The sequence below is a fragment of the Homo sapiens genome, chromosome 19 (assembly GCF_000001405.40).
Source record: "Homo sapiens chromosome 19, GRCh38.p14 Primary Assembly".
Classification (NCBI taxonomy): Eukaryota; Metazoa; Chordata; class Mammalia; order Primates; family Hominidae; genus Homo; species Homo sapiens.
In genome coordinates, this window is record NC_000019.10 from 42427448 (window position 1) to 42453170 (window position 25723).

General features: G+C 44.7%; 1 protein-coding gene and 1 long non-coding RNA gene across 4 annotated transcripts in view, besides 2 other annotated features; one reads left to right on the top strand and one right to left on the bottom strand.

Moving 5' to 3' along the window:
• The window catches only part of LIPE-AS1 (LIPE antisense RNA 1), a 255208-nt gene that overhangs the window by 30300 nt on the left and 199185 nt on the right, over positions 1-25723 (top strand). The window lies entirely within an intron of this gene.
• CXCL17 (C-X-C motif chemokine ligand 17) lies at positions 831-15499 on the bottom strand. Of its 2 annotated transcripts, none has more exons than NR_133910.2 (4): positions 15307-15499; positions 6329-6409; positions 5529-5647; positions 831-1534 (listed from the first exon to the last, which is right to left on the bottom strand). NR_133910.2 is itself a non-coding variant. In NM_198477.3 (4 exons), the coding sequence occupies exons 1-4, from the start codon at positions 15383-15385 to the stop codon at positions 1437-1439; spliced, it is 360 nt and encodes a 119-aa protein (NP_940879.1). In that variant the 5' UTR covers positions 15386-15499; the 3' UTR covers positions 831-1436. The 2 variants fall into 2 exon arrangements, 1 of the variants encoding a protein (NP_940879.1); NM_198477.3 differs by having other exon boundaries at positions 5529-5630.
• Positions 11070-11249: a silencer, noted in NCBI's record as "silent region_10715". NCBI's record gives its function as "represses an Ori minimal core promoter by ATAC-STARR-seq in GM12878 lymphoblastoid cells {active_cell/tissue: GM12878}" and the evidence as "EXISTENCE:reporter gene assay evidence [ECO:0000049][PMID:35858748]".
• Positions 12928-13017: a silencer, noted in NCBI's record as "silent region_10716". NCBI's record gives its function as "represses an Ori minimal core promoter by ATAC-STARR-seq in GM12878 lymphoblastoid cells {active_cell/tissue: GM12878}" and the evidence as "EXISTENCE:reporter gene assay evidence [ECO:0000049][PMID:35858748]".

Genomic DNA, 25723 nt, shown 5'->3' on the forward strand with positions numbered 1-25723 from the left:
TCATAAATAGGGCCCCACCCCACCCACCACTCCGTTAAAATGTTTCTTCTCATAAGGCAAGCATCCCAATTTAGGCCTCCGTGTCATCTGGGATGACAGAAGCCAGATGCTGGATGAGTGTTCCTTTTTTCTCTTTCCTTCTAATGTCTGAGGAAAGCGTCATTCAGGGGGCAGTCTCTGTAGTTGTTGTAATAATTATTTCCCTCTTTGTTCATTCCTACAAATGGTTGCCAGATTATTTATTTATTTACTTATTGAGACAAGTCTTTCTCTGTTGCCCAGGCTGGAGTGCAGTGGTACCATTTTGGCTCACTGAAGCCTCCACCTCCTGGGTTCAAGCGACTCTCCTGCCTCAGCCTCCCAAGTAGCTGGGACTACAGGCGTGCACTGCCACGCCCGGCTAATTTTTATATTTTTAGTAGAGATGGGGTTTTGCCATGTTGGCCAGGCTGGTCTCAAACTCCTGACCTTAAGTGATCCACCCCCACCCCCCGCCCCCGGGCCTCCCAAAGTGCTGGGTTTACAGGTGTGAGCCACCACGCCCAGCCAGGTTGCTAGTTTAATTTCCTTATATTGTCATTCTGATCATTTAACTCTCATGTTAAAAACTAATGTCATGCCTTCCCACTTTTATAGCTTGAGGCCCTTCTGAATGGCATTTGAGATACTCCATGCCATCTCTCTAGCCCTGAACTATGATCCTGTACTAGATTGGAAACTCACAGAAGACAGTGACCACTGATGACAATGACTGATAATGATGGTGGTAATGGTGATGATAGTAGTCATAAATACCAAAGGCTGCCTAAGTGCTAAGAAACTGTGCCAAGTTTTTTTTTTAAACCTATATTATCTTTAATAAGACCGTGTCTGGTTCATTGGTATGCTTTTTTTTTTTTGTCCCACCTCGCTCTTACCTCAGAAAGATTTGTCGAATGAGTGAAAGATGAACAAGTAGGCCAATGGAGACAGAGTGAGGGTCTTGGTGGGGATAAGTATGTGTAGAATCTGGATTCAGTCTGCAGTGAATAGGGTAAAATGGGTCATCTGGTTGTGAATTGGCAGACCCCATTTGAAGGAAACAATTTTGATCTGTGACATTTAAAAATATTTATTGACTTCTGTTTGCTACTTTCCTGATTGCATTTAAGGTTAAATGACACTAGCTAGGAAGCTACAGTTTCCTGGAATCTTTCAGGTAATTAAGCCTAAGCCTGGGTAAGGGGAGGGCACAGGCTAAGACTGACGAGAGAAGAAGACACTAGAGAGAGCAACAAACAAAATGATCTTGAAAAACATGCTTTTTGAGAGCACTGGAATGATTTAGGGGTGGGTACAGTGGGAGAGTGAGGTGGGAGAAGAAGAGTGTCTGGTAGGTGTGCTCACTGTCTTCTTGGCTGAGAATGTTTAATTGGAAGAGTGGGCGCTCAGAGCTCCTACAAAGGCAGAGCAAAGCTTCTTAGCTGACATTGTTTGAGAAATTGCTGGCAGGCTCTGGAATGCTTGTTTGGCTTTCTGTGGTGCCTTTGGTGTCCTAGGGTGCAAATAAAGGGGAGAGGCTAGTGTTAAAACCATTTTTAACATTTCTTTTTTTTTTGGAGACGGAGTCTTGCTCTATTGCCCAGGCTGGAGTGCAGTGGCAGGATCTCAACTCACTGCAACCTCTGCCTCCCGGGTTCAAGTGATTCTCCTGCCTCAGCCTCCCAAGTAGCTGGGATTACAGGTGCCTGCCACCATGGCTGGCTAATTTTTGTATTTTAGTAGAGACAGGGTTTCACCATTTTGGCCAGGCTGGTCTGGAACTCCTGACGTCATGTGATCCACCCACCTCGGCCTCCCAAAGTGCTAGGATTACAGGCATGAGCCACCATGCCTGGCCTTCACATTTAATTTTTTTTTGAGATGGAGTCTCGTTCAGTTGCCCAGGCTGGAGTGCAGTGGTGCAATCTTGGCTCACTGCAACCACTGTCTCCCAGATTCAAGCGATTCTCCTGTCTCAGCCTCTCGAGTAGCTGGGATTACAGGCACCCACCATCATGCCTGGCTAATTTTTGTATTTTAGTAGAGATGGGGTTTCACCATGTTGGCCAGGCTGGTCTTGAACTCCTGACCTCAGGTGATCCACCCGCTTTTGCCTCCCAAAATGCTAGGATTACAGGTGTGAGCCACTGTGCCCAGCCAACATTTAATTTTTATGAGAGTTTTAAAAATTATAAAAATAAGACTCATCCAGTGGAAAAAAATTTTAAAATCCAGTAAAAAGTAAAAGGACTCCTCCCACCCCAGCCTCTACAACACATTTTCCAGGGCTAACCACTGTTAATAGTTTGCTACGTATTTTTCCATACCTTCTGGTATATAAATACAATGGTTTATTTTAAAAACAAAAATGAGATTATACTATACGTATTGCCTTAGTCGGCACCTTTAAGAAATCTGGCCGGGCATAGTGGCTTGTGCCTATAATCTCAGCACTTTGGGAGGCCGAGGTGGGCAGATTGCCTGAGCCCAGGAGTTAAAGACCAGCCTGAGCAACATGGCGAAATCCTATCTCTACAAAAATACAAAAATTAGCCAGGCATGGTGGCGTGTACCTGTGGTTCCAGTTGCTGGGGAGGCTGAGGCAGGAGGAATGTTTCAGCCCAGGAGGTGAGCCGTGATCATGCCACTGCACTCCAGCCTGGGTGACAGAGCAAGACCTTGTCTCAACTGCGCCCCTCCCTCTGCAAAAAAAACAACTGAATCTATTATTGCAAAGTATTATATATCTATAGAAGTTCATAGAAACCTATACATGCAATTCAATAAATAGTTATAAAGCAGATATTCATGAAACTACTACCTAGGCTTAGAAATAGAATATTGTGTCCGGGCACGGTGGCTCATGCCTGTAATCCCTGCACTTTGGGAGCCCGAGGCAGGCAGATCACCTGAGGTCAGGGGTTCGAGACCAGCCTGACCAACATGGAGAAATCCATCTCTACTAAAAATACAAAATTAGCTGGGTGTGGTGGCGCATCCCTGTAATCCCAGCTCCTCAGGAGGCTGAGGCAGGAGAATTGCTTCAACCCGGGAGGCGGAGGTTGCAGTGAGCCGAGATTGCGCTATTGCACTCCAGCCTGGGCAACAAGAGCAGAACTCCATCTCAAAAAAAAAAAAAAAAGAAAGAAAGAAAGAAATAGAATATTGCCAACAGCACCCCTCCTTTTCTGATCACTGCTTTCTCTCCCCCTCACAGTGATAATCTTGACTTTTATAGTAATTATTTACTTTCTTTTCTTTATTATTTACCACCTATGTGTATAGATTCCTAAATAATTTAGTTTATTTTTTCTCATTTTTAAACTTTATGTATATATTATGGTCTGAATGTTTATGTCTCTCCCCATTTTTTTTGTTTTTGTTTTTGAGATGGAGTCTCACTCTGTTGTCCAGGCTGGAGTGCAGTGGCGTGATCTTGGCTCACTGCAACCTCTGCCTCCCGGGTTCAAATAATTCTCCTGTCTCAGCCTCCTAAGTAGCTGGGATTACAGATGTGCACCATCACGCCCGGCTAATTTTTTTGTATTTTAAGTAGAGACGGGGTTTCACCATGTTGGCCAGGCTGGTCTCGAACTCCTGACCTCAGGTGATCCCCCTGCCTTGGCCTCCCAAAGTGCTGGGATTACAGGCATGAACCACTGCACCTGGCCTCACTTTAGTTTTAATTCACATTTTCCTTGTAATAATAAGGTTGAGTGCCATTGCATCTGTTTATTAGCTGTTTGGGTTTCATCATCTGTGAAGTGGCTATTCAAGTATTTTTGCCCGTTTGTCTGTTGTATTTCCTGCCCTCCTCTCACTGGTCTGTAGCAATTCCTTATATATGTATTCTGAATACTAATCCTTTGAAGGTTGTGTATGTTACAGATATCGTCTCCTATTTGGCAGCTTGTCATTTTATTCTTTTGATGATCAAAATTTCATAATCTCAGTGAAGTCAGATTTATTTACTCTTTTACTTTATGGTTTGTGCATTTTGTATTTTGTTTAAGAAAGGCTTTCATACCTCAAGGTTGTGAATATATTCTCCTGTATTTCCTTGTAAATTTGTCTTTCAAATTTAGATCTGTAATCCACCTGAAACTTACGTTAATGAAGGATGTGAAATAGGGGGTCTCTACATCATTTTTTTTTCATTAATATATTGTGGATATCTCTCCAGCCAACACATAATGATTTATCTCATTATTATTATTATTATTTTTATTATTATTGTTATTATTATATTTATTTTAGAGACAGGATCTTGCTATGTTGCCCAGGCTGGTCTTGAGCTCCTTGGCTTACTGGATCCTCCTGCCTCAGCCTCCTGAGTAGCTAGGATTATAGGCCTGAGCCACTGCCCCTGGTTTACTTAATTATTTTTGACAGTAATTAGTTTTTCCCAATTTGCCTTTGAAGAAAATTTCCCCCATTTATTTGTCAATACAAATACTGCTATAATTAATATTCTTGTACCTATATTTTGAGCATCCATGCTAGTATTCCATTGTTGAGATTTCCTAAAGTAAGATTACTAAAGTTATTATACTCATTTACAATTTTGATACAGCCAAATTTATTTTACTTCCGTCAATAGTGTATAAGGATCCTGATATATCCCATTCTTGATAATATCATAATATCAATCAGTTTAACATTTGCCAATTTAGTTTTTTTTTTTTTTTTTTTTTGAGGCAGAGTCTCACTCTGTCGCCCAGGCTGGAGTGCAGTGGCATGATCTCAACTCTCTGCAACCTCCACCTCCCGGATTAAAGCAATTCGCGTGCCTCAACCTCCCGAGTAGCTGGGATTACAGGCATGCACCACTATGCCCCGCTAATTTTTGTATTTTTAGTAGAGACGGGGTTTCACCATGTTGGCCAGGCTGGTCTTGAACTCCTGGCCTCAAGCAATCCGCCTGCCTCGGCCTCCCAAAGTACTGGGATTACAGGCATGAGCCACTGTGCCCGGCTGCCAATTTACTTTTTATATGACACTTAAAAACTGGTAGACTAAACTGGGTGTGGTGGTGTGTACCTCTAACCCCAGATCCTTGGGAGGCTGTGGTGGAAGGATCACTTGAGCCCAGGAGTTTGAGACCAACCTGGGCAACATGGCAAGACCCCCTACTCAAAAAACAGAACAAAATAACAAACACAAAACTGCTAGACTAGGGAGGAGTCAAATTCTGTTTGATGCTGACACTGGTGTAATCTTCAGAGATTAATGACCAGATCTCCAACAGCCCCATCTACCCCCACTTTGGTAAACAGTGAGGTTTTAAAATCTAAGAATTTGGTTAAACCTTTCCAGTATCAGGAAAATTGTATCCTGCTTTTCCTCTCTTCCTATTTCCCGACAAGGTGACATTGAGTAGAAAGGGCTGAGTTGTGTGCTTATCCTGGTCTTAATTTCACCTCTTTTTTCTATTCTCAACGTGCTTCTTCCCTAGTGATTTCACGGAGTGACTCTGGTATAAGGAAAATCATCCTTTGGAAACTTACTTGTTTTCTTCACATTGCCCTTGAAATGATCACAGGGGCACTGCTTCTTTGGCAGCCCAGACACTGTCATGAATTTTCTTCTCGGGGCTCTCAGGAACCAATCTGGAACAACAGCATTGCTGCTTAGATGGGAGAGTTAATACATTTGATAGGAGGGAGTAGGACAGAGCTTTAATCGCCATCTTCTGTGCCTTGCATTTCCACTGCAATGGGGTGGGAAAAGGGGTCAACAGAGAACAGTGTCCATCCAGCTATTTGAATGCCAGTATTTCTGAGTTGTTTTTCCTGACAACTTTGGGCAAGGTTTGGGCAAGGGTTTGGGCAAGGGTTTGGTGGCAGGTTTGGAGGGTGCATCAGAATATCATTACTCCAAAGAATGAGGAGTAAGGCTTGGGTGTCTGCTTTTCAGTGGCTACTTTCCCTTGGGGAAGCCATTTTGCCTCTCTGCTTTCAGTCTTGCCTGTGAGTAAAATAAGGCTGAGAATAGGATTCAGGAAGCTTTTGGAAGGCCAGGAAAAAATAAAAAGGCTTTTGGACGGTAGCTCTGGGTTCTTCAGGAAAAGGATAAGGGGCAGGGCGCAGCCTGACATTTGGCTGGCTTTCCCCTAGACCTTGGAGAAGTCCAGTTCTTGCCTGAGAGTCAGGAAGAAAGTGGGCACAGGTGCTGCATGTGGCAGGCTGTGGAGAGGGGAATGGGTGAGGTCAGCTGAGATAACATCTGCATTGGTCTCAGAGGGGCCCAAGGGAGAGAGCTGGGGTCATGGTGATGCCATCGCTGTTGTTGTTGCTGAATTACTGACCTTTGCACTCACATTCTTGGCCGCCTTCCTGGAGCCATCTCCTAGAAGCCTGGCCTCGGTCCCTGTGGCCTCTGGCGACCCCTGTCGGAAGGAAACAGGTCACATCCAGACACTGGAAAGGGCACAGAAATGATCCTCCCAGCATTGTTCTACCTAGGTCAGCACAGTTCCATTTTTCCATTTTTACTTCAAGAATCTAGGTTACTTCAAGAGATGAATATTTTATTTTTATTTATATTTTTGAGATGGGGTCTTGCTGTGTTGCCTAGGCTGGTCTTGAACTCTTGGGCTCCAGTGGTCCTCCTGCCTTGGCCTCCCAAAGTGCTAGGATTATAGGCGTGAGCCACTGTGCCCAGCTGAGGGGTATTTTAATCGATAAGGGATTGAGGTTTAAAATCTGGCCTATACATAAGCATATTCAAAAATTTAATGATTAAAAAAATCTGGCCTAGAGAAAAGCTTAGCTGAAGGTAGGTGGAGAAAGAATGGCTTCTAGATGGAAGAGATGATAAAAGGCAGGGGTTTGTCGAAACCTCCTGCCCTCTCCTCATACCTCACATTAAAATCCTCATGACTTAAAAGAGTGAGAGCGAGGAGGAGATTATTCCTTAAATCAAGATTTTCCCTTGACCTCCAAGTTGCTGGGTTTTTTGTTTGTTTGTTTGTTTTTTGAGACAGAGTCTCACTCTGTCATCCAGGCTGGAGTGTAGTGGTGCAATCACGGCTCACTGCAGCCTTGACCTCCTGGGTTTGGTTGGTCCTCCCATCTCAGCCTCCTGGGTAGCTGAGGCTTCAGGCATGCACCACCACTCCTGGCTAGTTTTTTGTATTTTTTGTAAAGATAGGGTTTTGCCAAGTTGCCCAGGTTGGTCTGGAGCTCATGGGCGTAAGCGATCCGCCTGTCTTGGCCTCCCAAAGTGCTGTGATTATAGGCATGAGCCACCACACCCACCCCAAGTAGCTGTATTTGAATCCAGAGTCCCAGTTCAACTATTAAACGATGGTATTTACCTTTGTTCCTCTGGAACAAATACATTCTTCTTTTGGCCTTTATCCGAGCCTGTTTTATTTTCCGATTCTATCTTATCTCCATTTTTTGATACTTAAAATATTCCTATGACAGGCTGGGCACGGTGGCTCATGCCTGGAATCCCAGCACTTTGGGAGGCTGAGGCAGGCGGATCATGAGGTCAGGAGGTCAAGACCATCCTGGCTAACATGGTGAAACCCCGTCTCTACTAAAAATACAAAAAATTAGGCGGGCGTGGTGGCGGGCGCCTGTAGTCCCAGCTACTCGGGAGGCTGAGGCAGGAGAATCTCTTGACCCCAGGAGGCGGAAGTTGCAGTGAGCTGAGATCGTACCATTGTACTCCATCCTGGGCGACAGAGCGAGACACGGTCTCAAAAAAAAAAAAAAAATTCCTAAGACAATCAAGAATGATGGTTTATAGACTTGAGATTCTCAAGTAAGAGCTTGGCTCAGATGACACTTCCTTTATGGTAGTTTCTGATATTTCCTGTCAACATGAATTATACCTTCATATGGTTCCCATTGTTGTTGAATGCAGTTCTGTTATTGCACTGTAATGTTGTTGTTTGAAATCTTTTATGGACTGAATTGTGTCTCCCGAAATTCACATGTTGAATCCATAACCCCCAGTACCTCAGAATGACTGTATATGGAGATAGGACCTTTAAAGAGGTGATTAAAATCAGGCTGTTATGGTGGGCCCTACACCAGTCTGCCTGGTGTCCTTATAAGAAAAGGAGATTTGGGCTGGGCGCGGTGGCTCATGCCTATAATCTCAGCAATTTGGGAGGCCGAGGTGGGTGAATCACAGGTCAGGAGTTTGAGACCAGCCTGGCCAACATAGTGAAACCCTGTCTTTACTAAAAATACAAAAATGAGCAGGGCATGGTGGCGCGTGCCTGTAGTCCCAGCTACTTGGAAGGCTGAGGCAGGAGAATTGCTTGAACCCGGGAGGCAAAGGTTGCAGTGAGCTGAGATCATACCATTGCACTCCAGCATGGGCAACAAAGCAAGACTTTGTCTAAAAAAAAAAAAAAAAAGTAGGGGGGATCCTAGAGAGCTCTTTCATTCTCTTTCCACCTCTTGAAGATAAGAGGAGAAGTCCACTGTCTGCAACCTGGAAGAGGACCCTTGCCAGAACCCAGCTGTGCTGGCACCCTGATTTCATATATCCAGCCTGCAGAACTGTGAGGAATAAATTTCTCTTGTTTATGCCACCCAGTCTGTGGTATTGTGTTATGGCATTCCTAGCAAACTAAAATAAAATATTTCTCCTTCACTAGACTCTGAACCATTGGTTCAGTAGTCATTCAGGTACGTGGTTCCTAACACATGGTAGGCATTTGGCAAATGTTTGTTCAACACGTGGATGGATAAGTTGTTTGGAGAGGACCCTTAGAGATCATATGGTTCAATTCAGGCCTCCTACTTCCCAGACTTCTGCCACACAGATGGAGGGGGTTGCGTCATTTCCCCAAGGGCTGCTTTTCCAATGTTCTCATGTGCTGTTTTGAGTGTTATCAAAGTAATTTAAGCAGGCATAGGTCCTGCCATTTAAACTTTTCTAACATTTTTACTCTTGCCTGACCTCTACTCCTAGTTCCAGAGAAAAACCACAGAATATTAGACCTTGAAGGAAATCCCAGAGATTATTTAATTGAATTCCTTAATTCTGAAGTTTTTTTTTTTTTCAGTCTAAATGTAATTTAACTGTTGGAGAAAATTTTGAAAGTACAAACAGAGAAATTATTATTCTTACCAACTGTTGGTATTTTGGCATATTTGTTACCTACATATGCTTTTTATTAATATAGTGATAACCATAGCATGTAAACACATTCTCTTTTTCCATTCATAGGCATGTTGCTGTGTCATCTTCATAACACATTTTTAATGAATGCATAATACTCTCAATAATTATGTGTTCCAAATTATTTAACTGCTTTCCCATTGCTGAATATTTAGAAAGTTTTATTTTTTAGATGTTGGTAAATTTCTTTGTTCTTGTAACTGTTTTCCAAATTTTAGATTATTTTCTTGAGAGAGAGTTCCCAAAGTGGAATTACTGGGTCAAAAGTTAAGAATTGCTTTCAGAAGAGCTATACTAATGTTTAAATTTTTTTTCATTTAATTATTTATTTATTTTTTTTGAGACGGAGTCTCACTCTGTCGCCCAGGCTGGAGTGCAGTGTTGTGATCTCGGCTCACTGCAACCTCTGCCTCTCGGGTTCAAGCAATTCTCCTTCCTCAGCCTCCCAAGTAGCTGGGATTACAGGCACCCACCACCATGCCTGGCTAATTTTTGTATTTTTAGTAGAGGCAGGTTTTACCATGTTGGTCAGGCTGGTCTTGAACTCTTAACCTCAAGTGATCCGCTCCCCTCGGCCTCCCAAAGCGTTGGGATTATAGGCATGAGATGCTATGCCTGGCCACTTTATACTTTTTCTCTAAACAAATTTATTTTGCAAAACATCCTCATCCTATGCAATATTATCTGTGAAATTACAGGTTTGATGTATGCTTAGTTTTTTCCTAACATGCATTGGAATAAACACATAAATATTAAAGTAAAAAGAAGCTTATTTACTTTCCACCTAAAATCAGTTTTGGGAACCACTGATACAGTGGCATAAGCATGCACTTTATATCCACATAGGCCTGGGGTCAGCTACTGGCTCTGTCACTTAACTGTCGACTTGGACAAGTCACTTGGCTTCTATGATCCTTGATTCCCTGATTTGTGAAAGGAGGGTGGTAAAATCCTCCTTGCAGAGTTGTTGGGAATAAGTGAGCTGCTGTGGGAGCCCAGTGTCCAGGCGGGTGTTGAGTACATGATGGTTATCATTGTGTTTATTGCTGTGGAATTCTGGTTATTTTCCAAAGTGAGTGTCTATGCTGGAATATTGGGCTTGTGGCTTTCTGCTGATGTGGATGTGTAAAGAAGTTACTTCCACTTGTTAGGATTTGTGGTGCATCTGTCATTATTTTCACTTCCCAGATCCACTACATATTTGCTTTGTGATTTTGGACAAAGTTGTGTAACTTTTCTGTGCCTCATTTTCCTAATTTGTAAGATGTGGTTAATAATATTCCTCCCTTATCCACAGGGGATGCATTCCAAGACCCCCAAGATACTTCAAGTCTCAGATAGTACCAAACCCTATATATATATTTTTTCTACACATATACACTTACGATAAAGTCTAATTTATGAATTAGGCACAGTAAGAGATTAACAATAAGATAGAACAATTTTAAAAATATACTGTAATAGGCCAGGTGGGGGCTCACACCTGTAATCCCAGCACTTTGGGAGGCCGAGGCAGGCGGATCACGAGGTCAGGAGATTGAGACCATCCTGGCTAACACGGTGAAACCCCATCTCTACTAAAAATACAAAAAATTAGCCAGGTGTGGTGGCGCACGCCTTTAGTCCCAGCTACTCGGGAGGCTGAGGCAGGAGAATGGTGTGAACCCAGGAGGCAGAGCTTGCAGTGAGCCGAGATTGCACCACTGCACTCCAGCCTGGGCGACAAGAGACTCTGTCTCAAAAAAAAAAAAAAAAAAAAAAAAAAAATATATATATATATATATATATATAAAATACACACACACACACACACACACACACATATATACTGTAATGAAAATGACGTGAATGTGGTCTCTCTCTCTCTTTGTCTCTTTCTCAAGATAACAATATTTTTGGACCACTGTTGGCGGGTAACTGAAACTGCGATTAAGTGGGGACTACTGTACATGAGTGTGCGTGTGTGTTATTTCCCAGCTCTGACCACTAGAGGGCCTAGAAGCACCAGCACCTACTAGCAATGGACCTATCAGTCAGTGCCCATAGTCTGTAAATATCATTCTCCCATGAAAGGAACTAGGGCTTCCAGGAAAAATAGCTGATCCAGGGCTGGGGCAGAAAAACACAAGAGGAGCCCAAAGCTTCTTGTGGTGTCAGAAAGTAAGGAGCTGCTCAAAAAATGGTGGAGATGTGTCTAAAGGTCACAGAAGCCAACTAGAAGGAGCTCCCAATGGCCAATTTTGGGACAATATGAGCAACATAATAAATAATGATAGTAGTGGATTCCAACCCATAAATACTCATGAGTCCATGCTGATATAAATAAATAACTGAACAAATAAATAAATAAGGAAGAGGCTAGGCATGGTGGCTCACGCCTGTAATCCCAGCACTTTGGGAGGCCAAAGTGGGGGGATCACTTGAGGCCAGGAATTAGAGACCAGCCTGGCTAACATGACAAAACCCCGTCTCTACTAAAAATACAAAAATTAGCTGGGTGTGGTGGTGTCTGCCTGTAGTCCCAGCTACTCAGGAGGCTGAGGTGGGAGGATCGCTTGAGCCCAGAAGGTGGAGGCGGCAGTGAGCCAAGATCACACCACTGCACTCCAGCCTAGGCAACAGAGCAAGACTCTATCTCAAAAAAAAAAAAAAAAAAAAAGAAAAAGAAAAAGGAATAACTCTTTCTTATGGCAGAATTCCGATTAAATAAATGTAGAAGGAACAATGGAAGTAGAAAATCACTATTTGGCCAACACCACAGTAATAATTCTTTATAGGAAACAATCATCCATAGATTCTAAAAGTTAATATTAAAAGTATGATGATGCCATAACTGGTGAATAACAAGAAAAAAAAAAGTATGATGAGAAGAAACAGGCTATTTACATATTTCCAAAGTGTCTCTCCACAAGATACTTATTAATTACAATAAGATGAATAGTAACTTTACAGTAGAGAAACCTGGCAGACACCACCTGAACCAAGTGCTTAAAGTGAACCTCATCAGTAATGAGAGATATCGACATCCTGGGGCTCTTGCTGGGATGTCCAGAGAAGGATACATCACTTCTGAAGTATTCTTGCCCAAAATGTGTAGCCGGAAATATCAGACAAACCCATATTCAGGGGGCATTCTACAAAACAACTGGCTAGAACTCTTCAAAAGTGTCAAGGTCCTGAAAGAGAGGGAAAGACTGAGAAACTATCCCAGGTTGGAGGAGACCTAGGAGATCTGACATTTTATTCAGTGGGATCCCAGATTGGAGTCTGGAGCAGAAAAAGGACATGAGTGGGATGATTAGCAAGATTTGAACATTTGTAGATTAGTTAATATTATGGTATCAGTGCTAATCTCCTGGTTTTGATAATTGTATTATGGTTACATAAGATATTGTTTGAAAACAATTGGATGAAGGCTGTACTGGAACTCTATTTTTACAATATTTTTCAAAGTCTGAAAAATGAAAAGTAAGAAAAAGTAAGAAATGCATTAGATTTGTGAGGACAAATGAGATAGTAAGTGTGAAGTGATTAGAACAATGCTTGTGATATAGGAGTTCTTAATGTGTCTGATATTATAAGTAATTTTATAATTAAATAATATTATAATTAATGAATAATCTGTTATTTTAAGTAATTTATTTCCTAATGACCTCATATATTCTCACTTATTTCTATTTCCCTTAACCCTGTGAAAAGCATATTGAGCATGTATGTGATTAAGAGATAAAATAAGATTAGACTTTATTCTGAGATTTATTTTGGGGATGGAGGAGCTATTATTTCCTTTAGCCACTAAGTAGCTCAGACTCAGGCCTGCACTGCAAAACTTTGCTTGGCTGGGAAACAAGATTTGAGCCCGGCCGCCACCCACTCGACGTGGTTTGTGATGGCGCCCCCTGGTGGCGCAGGGAGCTTTCCCCAGTTCCTCACCCTCGTGCTTTAGGAGCGACTTAGAAACTACTCAGTCCATTTATTAAACCCTTTCTAGGACACGCTGCGGATCATTTAATCTTCACAAGTGTGTGTGACAAGTGGTATTTTCTTCATTTTAAGATGATAAAACTGAAACTCAAAAAAGTGAGGCGACTTGTCTAGGGTTGCAAAGTGTGTGGCAGAGCCAGGATCTAGGTCCCCCTGACTTCCAAGCTGAGTGTAAAGGTCTAGGTGAGTCTAAAAGTGTGGCCATGCAGAGAAGTATTGGTGTAGAGCAGTGGTTGTTGACCAAGGGTGGTTCCCCCTCCGGGGTCATTTGGCGATGTCTAGAGATATTTTTGGCTGCCATAACAGGGGTTTGGATGAGGGAGAGGGGAGGCTGCTATTGGCATGTAGGGGAGAGAGGCCACGCGGATGCTGCTGAACATCTCACAATACACAGAACAGCCCCCACCGCAAGGAACTGTTCAGCCCAAATGTCAGTAGAGCTGCTATGAAGCCCTGGTTTGATTTAGCAACCTGAGGATGCATTCTTGCAGTTAGCTAATGTTTGCTGAGTACTGAGCTGGATAGCGTGAGGGATATGGAAACAGTGCACCAGTCTGTGTCACCAAGTAGTTTGCAGCCTAGAAGGACAGGGGGTGGGGGCAGGAAAGGCACATGAAGGCCCTCAATATAAGGCAGCAGATGATAAGTGCAAGAAGAGAGTGTCCAGCAGGGCTAAGCCAGCGCTCAGGAGGGAGACCACATGTCTGGCTGTGGGAGGAACTGAAGGAAGCTGTGGGAAGGTGGTTTTGAGCTGGGTGTGTGAGCAAAGTTGAACTGGTGGAAAAACACAATACCTGTTCAGGGAAGGGCAAACAGGTTAGTTTGGTTGGAGAAATAGTATTTTTAGTGAGTAGAGGGAGGTACACTAGAAAGGCAGGTTGGGGCTACAGCTTTGAATCCAGGCAGAGGACTCTAGCCTGGGTGTCTGTCATAGTGATGGAAAAGTCTTCCCTTTCAGAACAGTGGTCTAGGCCCTAGGGCTATGGGGCTTAACAGCTTCCAGAGCACTCTCTCTACAAAGGAGGGGATGTTGGAAATTGGGGTGGAGAAGGGAGAATGCCTCCTGATTTTAGGACCAAGTTGATGCTGAGTATGTAACATAGCCATTTCACCTCAAAGTGGCCTTTGGGGAGATGGTGCTCACAAGCGGAAATATACATGGGGATCAGGTCTTTTCTGCGTGGTTGCTCTGTGCAGGGCTGGGCCACTTTATAGTGAAAGCTGGAGCAGATTTGGAACCCCTAAGCTAAAGTCGGCTTCCCAAAATGTGAGCTGTTACAGCAGGGCTTGCTATGGATAAAGCTTCAAATATGGACACTACCTGGTGACAGGCTTTTTCTAGTTTATTACGTTACCAGTAAATAGCATTAAGACATGTTGGTGGCATTCCAGTGCACTGTAAAGAATAGAAGCAAGGACTTCCTGATCTTCTATAAAGGTACCATTGCCTTCAACACTCTCCCACCATCATCATTAAGTTTAGCCATGAGAATTATGTTACTCTTTTGGAAAAGTGTTGGGGGAGAAGGCATGGGAGCAAATCTTTGTTGAGCTAGTATATACATACATACGTACGTGTGTGTGAGGGGGATCAGCTACAATTGCAGATATCTTCTTTTCTTTTCTTTCCTTTTTTTTTTTTTTTTTTTTTTGAGATGGAGTCTCACTCTGTCACCCAGGCTGGAGTACAGTGGTGCCGTCTCGGCTCACTGCAGCCTCCACCTCCTGGGTTCCAGCAATTCTCTGGCCTCAGCCTCCTGAGTAGCTGGGACTACAGGTGCGTGCCACCAGGTCTGGCTAATTTTTTGTATTTTTAGTAGAGATGGAGTTTCACCGTGTTAGCCAGGATGGTCTCGATCTCCTGACCTTGTAATCCGCCCTGCCTTGGCCTCCCAAAGTGCTGGGATTACAGGAGTGAGCCACCGCGCCCGGCCAGTTGCAGATATTTTCACATACAATATCTCGTTTAACTCTCTCAACATTGTTTGGGTGTAAGTACAGTTTGCTGTTTTTTTGTAAAGGAGGAAACTGGCATTGAGAAAGGCTCACTTGCCCCATCCCCCATAGCTAAGAGAAGCTGCATTTTGATGTGTCTGTGGCCTGTTTTGCCACATTTCTCCCCCCGTTTTCCCCTTCATAGACAGTCTTGTTTACCTGGATTCAGGCTGCTAGAGACCATGGACATCAGCATTAGTGGCAGCAACAGGAGGAGGGAAGAGATTAGAACTTTCATCGCAACTGTCGGTGCAGCTGTAAGTTGCTTGAAGAATATAATGGAAGGTTCCCTGCTGGAGGCTCCTGATCCCTGGGGATGACTCAGGTCAGGATACTCAGCCTGGTGGTCTATGCTTTAGTCCCAGGCCAGCGTTCCCATTTGAGGGCGAGAACAGGTGAGGTGACGCTGTCTTGCTGTTACGTAACAGATTAGACCATGTGCTTTATGGGAATCTGGGAGGTGAAACTGGTCAAACAAAAGAAATTCAGCATTCTTAAGAACATAAGAAGGTGACTGATAACTTGGCAGCTGTGCCAGTTCTCTCCTGTACTCTTTCCCGCCTCCTCACACCCCAATGCCTCATGATTTCTTCCTCAAATCTTTTTTTCTTGCTTGGATTTCCTTATACCTTTCAATGACCCTCTCTATCTGAATATTTGGCAGGAAAGTGGATACTAAGTGTTGGTAGAAGAGACTTTGACAAGGTCTGTTTCCCCTCTGTGCTCCTGCTCCCATCCTTGGCAAAATATCGGCAATAGTAGTGTTGTTGCCTGGGAAGTTGCCCTGTCCTCTCTCTGTTCACAATTCCCTCCAATTCTGCAGCCACATAAGATGGCAGCAGAGCAGGATCCGGGACAAGAGGCAGCTCCCCTGCCGAGAACACCGCCCCTGGAGCAGTGGGTGACACCAGGCCTCCTTGTGTGTCCATCGGGAAGGTGGCCATGGCTTAGTTGTTCTGGTCTAAAGGGGAGGGAACTGGGTTGGGGGAAGAGACCCCCAGAGCTTTAGGTCTCAGAGGGTTTGAGAAACAGGAGCCACAGGAGGGAAGGAGCCCTGAAGTGTGTTTGCCCAGCTGCTGGGGCGCCTGGCTCCAGCCCTTGTTTGGAAATGGCCCCGGGCAAAAGAAGAAAGGTAATAATACTTGAAGTAAACATTAGGGGCATAGAATATCAGCACTCACTAAACTTGACATTTATTTGAGACTTTAGGAAATGTGCTCAAAGGGAGAGGAGAGGCTGGGCTTGAATGCTGGGTGATATTCATGGGGGCTGAAGGGAAGGCTAACAAGGGAGCCCTTTTTTTGGAAGCCTCCAGGCAGGAGTGAGAGCAGGGGGTGTGACTTTATTTCCCTGAGAGAAGGAAAGAGGAAAGGCATGAGTCAAAGCCCTTTGGTTTTGTTTGACCATTCTTTTTTCTCCACGTTTTCAAATTATCTCGGCCTGTTGACTTGTCACAGAGTTGATTGTGGACTTTGCTACTGCAGTGTTTATAAAGCACTGCAGGGGCCAGGGACTGCTATGACTGAGCCTGTGTCCAAGTTGAAGGCTCAGGGTGGGCCTAAGCTTGTTCTGATGCAAATCACTGATGTGGCTTCTTTCTGGAAAATTCTAAAACCAGGGAGATGACATCCATTTCATAAAGCCTAGAGATATGGGTGCAGTCATCTCTCAAAGTGGCAGGAGTGCAGGGGGACTGAGAGGGACTTGGTTGGGTGGAACTTGAGCTGGAGTTGGGGGAGGATTTGGGTTGGTGGAGGGCAGAGAGGAGGGCCGTGCAGAGCAGGGGCGTGTTGTAGGAGAGGTGCCTCCTGGAGCTCATTGGATGGGGATTTTAGAGGACAGGAGCTGTTCGTGTTCATTTTTGTATTGCTTGAACTTACACAGGGTCTGGCACTTTGGGAGTATTCTATAAATGACTGTTGAATGGAATGATTGTTTTGTAGCCCATTAACTGGGCCTGATGTATTAGAAAGTGTGCGAAAATGTAGCCCATTAGCAGAAAGAAAATCTTACTGAAAAACCATCCCATGTACAAATGGAGCCTGGTGCGGCCACTTTACTTATGCTGCTGAGTTCTGCATCAGTCCACACCCAGGCCACCGCAGGGGCCGGGAGCTCCTCCTCAGACCTACCTCCCGTGCCTCAGTCTCTTTACCCCTCTGTTCTTCCAGGTCCTGCTCCCTCTGGTTTCCCCTCCATGCACTTGGGGTGGGTGTTGCATCCTGTGTCCCATTGGAGGGGGCTTCCGGTCTGTTAGGTCTATTAATATAAAACACCCCCAAGACAAATGGACTTTTTTCTTGTTAACATCACAACTTCTTATGATGCATCTCAAGAACATTATTTGTGTCAAGAGTCTCTCTGATGTACAGAGGCCCTCCATTCCTCAGGAGGAGGTAAGGGGAATTTGGGAGAAAACACCGCCCTGCCTGGGTTACTTATTTCCCTATTCTACAGTGTACTTGGTAGACATTCAAAAATATTTGTTGACTTTGTCCATGATCCACATGGCTCTCATATAGTCATTTATTCACACATACATTCAGTGAGACTTTGAGCGCCTAGTGTGTGCCTGGTATTTACTAGATGGTGGATGCTGAGATCAGGTGTGCTGCTGTCTCTGAGGAGCTCTCACTATACAGTGGCACCTAGGGTGACCGAATCCACCTGCCCCACTTTACAGACATGGAAATTAAAGTGCAGGGAAGTTATAGGATTAGTTCAACAACACAGTCAGTAGCCTCAAAGTTACAGGAGTAAATCAAGTTTTCTGACTTGCTGGATTTTCTATTAGTGTGCAGCTACCTGGCTGCTGCAGGTGTAGACGTGGTGAGCTCCGATAGGAGAGAGGACGTTCAGAGTGAAATGGGAGCCCTGAGCACCCTGGATTAACCGGGAGGACATACCGGGTCCAGCTGTGACCGCACAAAGGACCATCAGGGATATTTGTATTCTCTTTTTCACTTTGAGCTTGAAATGAAGAAAACTGACCCCAGGAAACCAAGAGTGGAAGATTTTTCACAGGGGATTAGTGAGATGCGTCAAAAAGCCTGTGTTGGATGGGTGCCTGTAATCCCAGCACTTTGGGAAGCTGAGGTGGGAGGATGGCTTGGGTCCAGGAGTTTGAGACCAGTGTGGGCAACATGGTGAGACCCTGTCTCTATAAAAAGCTTTTTTGTTTCTTGTTTTAAAAAGAAAACCCTTTTCTGATGTCTGTCACGGTGTTTCTCACTGAATGGTAATGGTCTGACTTTGAGTGGGTTTCATCCATAGCCTGGAGCTCTGTGAGGCAGGGACCAGGTGTGATTCACCTTTGTCTCTCCAGTGACAGTACACAGCAGGATCCGATAAATATTTCTTACAAAATAAAACTGAATAAAAAGTAGACATCTGCACAGGTGTGGGATGACTAAGCAGCAGCAGGAGCAGGAAAAATCAGTCCCCCCAGATCAGCTGATACAGCGTTCAGCTTCTAGATAGGGGTGAGGTGCCAGGACGGGGATGGGGTTCCTGTGGCTCTGCTGCTCTGGGGAACACCCCTAGGATTCAGAGTGTAGGCTGTGGTTGCTGCACTTCACTTGCCCGTGGGAAAGTGAGCAGTGGGTGTGGGGCTTCAGGTGACCCTACGTGGGAAACGGCCGAGGGAAGATGGGGTAGGTGGCACATAGAGGTTGTTTTTTTATTTTTTTATTTTTATTTTTGAGACGAAGTTTTGTTCTTATTGCCCAGGCTGGAGTGCAATGGTACAATCTTGGCTCACCGCAACCTCTGCTTCCCAGGTTCAAGCAATTCTCCTTGCCTCAGCCTCCCAAGTAGCTATGATTACAGGCATGCGCCACCATGCCTGGCTATTTTTTTTTGTATTTTTAGTAGAGACAGGATTTCTCCATGTTGGTCAGGCTGATCTCGATCTCCTGACCTCAGGTGATCCACCCACCTTGGCCTCCCAAAGTGCTGGGATTACAGGCATGAGCCACTGTGCCCGGCCAAGGATGTTTACCAATATTTGAAGGTCGGTTGTATAAAAAAGTGTTAGACTTGGCTGGGTGCATTGGCTCATGCCTGTAATCTCAACACTTTGGGAGGCTGAGGCAGGCAGATCACCTGAGGTCGGGAGTTTGAGACCAACCTGGCCAACATGGCAAAACCCTGTCTCTACTAAAAATACAAAAATTAGCCGGGCGCAGTGGCGGGCACCTGTAATCGCAGCTATTCAGGAGGCTGAGGCAGGAAAATTGCTTGAACCCAGGAGGGGGAGGTTGCAGTGAGCCAAGATTGTGCCACTGCACTCCATCCTGGGTGACAGAGCCAGACTCCATCTCAAAAAAAAAAAAAAAAAAAAGGAAAAGAAAAAATGTTAGTGTCACATGCATCCATGTGAAGAGACCACCAAACAGGCTTTGTGTGAGCAATAAAGCTTTTAATCACCTGGTGCAGGCAGGCTGAGTCCAAAAAGAGAGTCAGTGAAGGGAGTTAGGGATGGGGCAGTTTTATAGGACTAGGGTAAGCAGTGGAAAGTTACAGTTAAAGGGGGTTTTTCTCTTGCGGGCATGGTGGGGAGATCATAAGACTCATTGTCCAGAAGAAGAATGTCACGAGGTTGATCAGTAGATCAATTGGGACAGGGCAGGATCAAGTCATGACAGAATGTCATAAGGTTGGTCAATCGGTTAAGATAGGAGTTGGCTGTTTCCCTTCTTTTGTACTTGTCGGTTGCCTCAGGCCATCTGGATGTATACATGCAGGCTTGGGTTCAGAGGCCTGACATTCCTGTCTTCTTATATTAATAAGAAAAATAAAACAAAATAGTGTTGAAGTGTTGGGGTGGCGAAAAAATTGTTTTTGGGGTGGTATGGAGAGATAATGGGCCATGTTTCTCAGGGCTGCTTCGAGCAGGATTAAGGGCTGTGTGGACCTTAAAGAAAATTTTATAATAGGTTACATGGAATAGGAGTTTAGGCTGTGGGGAGATCTTGGGGCAGAGGATGGTACTATGGGGTTGTTAAAAGTAGCATTTGTCATATAGAATGATTAGTGATGGTCTGAATGTGGTTTTGTGTGAATTGAGAAACCAAACGGAAGACACAAGGCCCGAATAAGAGGAGAAAAAGAGGTACCAGAGGACTAAGAATTGGGAGGACCCAGGATGTCCAATTAGAGAGTGCCCAAGGGGGTTCAGCATAATTACTTGCTTGTTGGCGAGTTTTTGGGCTATATCCTTGAGTTTTTTTTTATATTGTCATATACTAGGCCAGATTGATTTAGGTAAAAGCAACACTCTTCATTTAAAAATATAGAGAGTCCTCCTTTTTCAGCAGTGAGTAAGTCAAGGCCTCGGCGGTTTTAGAGGACAACTGCAGCTAAAGAGTCAACCTTGGCCTGAAGGACTCATAGAGTTTGTGATATGTCTGTGATGCTAGCAGAGAAGTCATTAGAGAGGCTCTGGAAGGTCGTGACAGAGGCTGAAATGCCTGCTATTCCAGTTCTGAGCGCAATAGCGGAGGCAGAAAGTCCTAAACCGACAAGTAAGGGAATTAGTGGAATAACCTTTTTTTTTGTCATGTCGGTGTCATGAGAGGAACAGGAAGCTTTTCAGTCCCATTCGCAAATTGAATTTTGGGAGTAAGGTAAACTAGTGTGCATGTGCCTGTCCAATTAGCAGGTAGACACATGTAGGCAGAGGATCCACAGAGGAAGAAGAGACCTTGTGCAAGGCAAAACTGGAAATGCAAAGTAAAAAGATGAGAAGGAATACTAAAAGAGGTGTCTTGCACTCAGACTCCTAGGGATCCAGCTAGGGCGGCAGCCATCAGAGGTTGTAATGGGGACTGATGGGGTAACTGCATAGAGGGGGAGGTTCGATTTTCATGGTGTATGAGAAAACGTTGAGTGTCTACGAGCAACCTTTCACTGTTATTTACAGGGCTGGGTATAAGCAAACAAAAAGAGGGCCTGGGAGGAGAGTCTGACGAGCAAGGGGAAGGTAGTCAAGGATGGAGTGAAATACAGGGTAAGTGTCTTCCTAGGAAATAATAACTGCTAATGTTTTTAAGTTTGCCAGTATTGATAGAGGGCTTTTCTGTAATATGGAGCTGGGAGGCCCCAATTGTTTCAGTGATATGTGTAGTTGGGCTTTGGAGATGAAGAGTGAAGGAACACGGAGAAGGTGAAAGGTTACCTAGGGGAATTCCAGTGGGTCTTTGCCAAGAGATACATAAAGGAGTGGCCACAGGAATAGTAGTTTGTGTTGTGAGGGGTCCAAATATGGGGGGAGTAGAATTAATATAAGGAGAAAGATTTTTTAAGTAAGTGCGGAGAAGGGCGGCAGCTTGCTGATGTGAAATGTCTGGGGAGGTCTTGCTGGACCTGTCTAGAAAGTAAAGAATTTCTTTAGGAGGGTTAAGGTGAGGGCTGTTAAAGGAAGTTCGGAGGTGTAGGGAGACAGGAGATGTTGCTTAGTCTGTATGTAAGGCGGGGACAGCTGTGTAGGCACAGGAAGAAAGGGAAATGCAAAGCCAGCAATTGTTCTCTAAGGAGGGATCAGAGACGGCTAGGAGAGAGTGAATGAGACTGATAGTGTGGTGGAGATAGCTGGGGAGAGGTAGAGGGTGGCATAAGAATGGGAATGAGAATAAGAGTGAGTATAAAAGTAAAGAATAGAACTTCATCAGGGTGGAAGTATTGGAGGGTGCCCTGCCAGCAAAGATCATCTATCCACTCTAAGAGGGAGTTAAGAGTGGCAGTTTGGGGATAGCACCAGGAGATATCCACTGTGATGGTTTGGAGGAACAGTGTAAACTGGCAGTGTAAACAAGAGCAGGGCATTTATGAGTAGTTGAGAACGGTGAATAAGAGTATGACTAGACAGAAGATAGTAGGGATGACAAGTTTTTTGGGGTGCAGTCCAAGTAGTGGGGGTGACTGCATAAAGCCCTGTTGCAAAAAGTAGGGTAAGGATGAACAGACCTAGTAGAATGAAGGGACGTATTAGGCTCATGAGGGTTATTACTGTTCTTCAGAAATACAAGTGAGTTTAAGGGAAGTAGGGGAGAGTACTTGCGACTTCCAGGAGGAAGAGGAGAGATTAGGCTGGCTGTTTGATGGACACAGCTTTATTCTGGAATGGTGAACCCAATGGGGAGGATCCTGCAGGCGGACAGCAGTTGGGGTGCTAGAGATGACTAAGTAGGGTCCAGTCCATTGAGGTTGTAGAGTTTGAGGGGTCAGATTCTTAACAAGAACGGGTTGTCCAGCTAGGGTGTCTTCATATGGCTGGGAATCTGGAGTAGGCAAGAGAAGATTAGCAGCCTGGGGAATTTCCTGTCTAGCCTGCTGGAGGCCTGGAAGATAGTTGCCTAGAGGGCCGGTGTCTGGGACAAGGTTGGGGCCGAGCAAGAAAGTGTGTCCATGTAAAAGTTCAAATGGACTGTACCCTGTAGCATCTCGAGGACAGGCTCTAATTCTGAGAAGGGCAAGAGGTAAAAGTACTGTCCAGTCCTTTTTAAGTTGGAGACTGAGCTTGGTGAGGTATGTCTTTAAAAGACCATTAGTCCGTTCTACCTTTCCTGAAGATTGAGGGCGGTAAGGGGTATGAAGTTTGACTTATTTCAGCCTACAGAGAGTAGGATGAGAATTGGTGAGTGTGTATCAGACACATTTTGGCTCAGGATGGAAAAGAACTGTCACAGTAAAGTAAGTTTCCTTGGGAAATTACAAGTTTACTGGTGGAGTTCAGGCCTGAGCTGGGTGTCTGAAAATACCTGTTAGAGTGATTTCTAAGGTTACAAGGGCAGAGCTTGGCTTGAAACTAGGTTTCCCACTGATACCACATATTAGGTATTATACAAACTGTCTTTTGCAATGAGACACGGCCCTATGATGCAGGCTGAGCTCTCTGACAGTTACTTCCTGTCTTTGTGGGCGATTGTGATTTTATCTCCTTTGTGACCTGGACTTTACCTCCTACCCTTTGCTCTTGCCAGCCCTCCCACTTCCTTTACTGGTGACAAGGTTTAAGTGCATTTACTGATGATGGTCACAAGGTGGCAGCACTGCCTCACTGGTGTTTCCTAAGACCTCTGCTTGGACGTGGGCCAGTCTAAGGTGCTGTTAGGATTAAGGGCATGAATGAGGCTAAAGGTAAACTTTATTTTCCTTTTTTTATCCTGTGAAGTAACAGAATTTGAGGTGAGTGTGAAGTAATTGCATTTGAGAACTGGAAGTGCCATGTGTGGTGGCTCATGCCTGTAATCCCAACACTTTGGGAGGCTGAAGCAGGAGGATGGTTTGAGCCCAGGAGTTCCAGACCAGCCTGGGCAACATGGTGAGACCTCATCTCTACAAAAAATAAAAAAATTAGCCGGGCACGGTGACACATGCCTGTGGTCCCAGCTACTTGAGAGCCTGAGGCAGGAGGATTCCCTTGAACCCAGGAGGTCCAGGCTGCATTAAGCTATGATCCTGTCACTGCGTTCCATCCAGCCTGGGTGACAGAATGAGACTCTGTCTCAAAAAACTCCAAAAATGAATACAAAATTAAAAAGTCTGGTAGAAATGCTTCACAAACTTTAATGTGCTCACAGATCACCCAAAGATCTTGTTTAAATGCAGATTCTGATTCTTCTGGTGGGGCCTGAGAGTCTGCATTTCTTTTTTTTATGATTGGCATTTTCACAAGATTCTGCATTTCTAAGGAGCATTTGGACGATGTCATTGCTGCTGGTTGGTGGAGCACACTTTGAGTAGCAAGGCTTGAGTATCATTTAGAGATTAATTCTCACTGCATCTGATTTATGGATGGGGAGAGACTGAGGTGTGGAGATGGAATAGAGCTTGCCCTCCATAGCCATGCCCTCACCGCATGACTTTTTGCGTTTAAACCCAGGGCTTCAGCCTCTTTGTCCAGTCCTTGCCTCATGCATCACATGGCCCCTTCACTGTTGTTGGTGGCATCTCTTTAGCTTAGGAACTCAGAACCCCATTTTTATCACCCACTCTGGGCTTGGCTCAACATGTCACTTTGACTGGTTTTCCCCTTACTCAAAACCTTCACTGACTCTTCTGTAATTCACAAGATCAAGTTCGAATGTCTGTGTCCAGTGTTCATGCCTCTATAACATATGTATGATCCCCCTTTAGCAAGCTTACCTAACTTCCCTGGTTTTTGTTTTTGTTTTTGTTTTTGAGACAGAGTCTTGCTCTGTTGCCCAGGCTGGAGTGCAGTGGCACCATCTCGGCTCACTGCAAGCTCCGCCTCTCGGATTCACGCCATTCTCCTGCCTCAGCCTCCCTAGTAGCTGGGACTACAGGTGCCTGCCACCATGCCTGGCTAATTTTTTGTATTTTTAGTAGAGACGGGGTTTCACCGTGTTAGCGAGGGTGGTGATGGTCTCGATCTCCTGATCTCATGATCTGTCTGCCTCAGCCTCAAAAGTGCTGGGATTACAGGCGTGAGCCCACCGCGCCTGGCCACTTCCCTGTTTTTAAACCATCTCTTTCTGCTCTAGCTCTCCCTGTTCCTTCCTGTTCCCTACACATACTCTGTTCTGGTCTCTCTCAGTGGTAGTGGTGGTGGTATGGGCTCTGGTGTTAGACTCACTGAGTTTCTAATCCAACATCCACCAACAACCTTGGCAAGTTACTTCACCTTTTTGAGGATCAGCATCCTCCTGTGAAATAACCCCACATGGTGGTTGAGAGGAGTAAATAAAAAATCATCTGTACCTCATAAATATATATACCTACTATGTACCCCCAAATGTAAAAATTAAAAAAAAAGTAAAACGACATCTGCAAACCCGCTCTCATTCCTGAGACCCTCTTCAAAGCTAGCATCTACAGCAGTGCCTGCCACCTGGTTTCCTTGGCGTGTGTTTCTCCTTGTCTCTGCTTTCCTAAGGTTGAACCCTTCAGGACCTCACCTGAATCCCGTCTGTTCCATGAAACCTTTCCCAGCCATTCCTGACCCAGTTGATCCCTCGCTTCTATAAATTATTTTACCTATGTATGGGCATTTAATTACATGCCAGCCCTCTCAGTGAGACCCCATAGGGAGGCTGGAAGGGTATTGGATGTGTGCGAATTGAAGGTTAATTGAATGAATACTTTTCTTACTACCCACTGAGTGTTAGAGCTGCCGTCTCTTTTTTTCAGCTAGTCCCAGCGGCAGTTCCTCCTGCACCAGCTGCACCAGACCCTGGCAGGCATGTGAATACCTTAGGGATTGCTCTTGTCAGGGTCCTTCCTGCCTCTGGGTTTTGGTTAAATTGGTGTTTCCTTTTGCACGATATCAGTGGTCCCTCTAAGGGAGAGATTGATGATATCTCTTTATGGAAATGCCAAGATAATAACTGAGGAAGTTGAACTCAATATCTTATTGCTTAAACAGCCTGGTTACAGGAGATGTGTACACACTTTCTTGTTTCGTTAAAATTACAACAGTCTTTACTCTCTTACTTCAGAAGAGACTGGGGACAAAAGACCAAGTGGGAGTGTGGGCAACATAGGGAGACCCCATCTCTACAAAAAAAAAATTAGCTGGGTGTGGTGGTGTGTGCCTGTAGTCCCAGCTACTTTG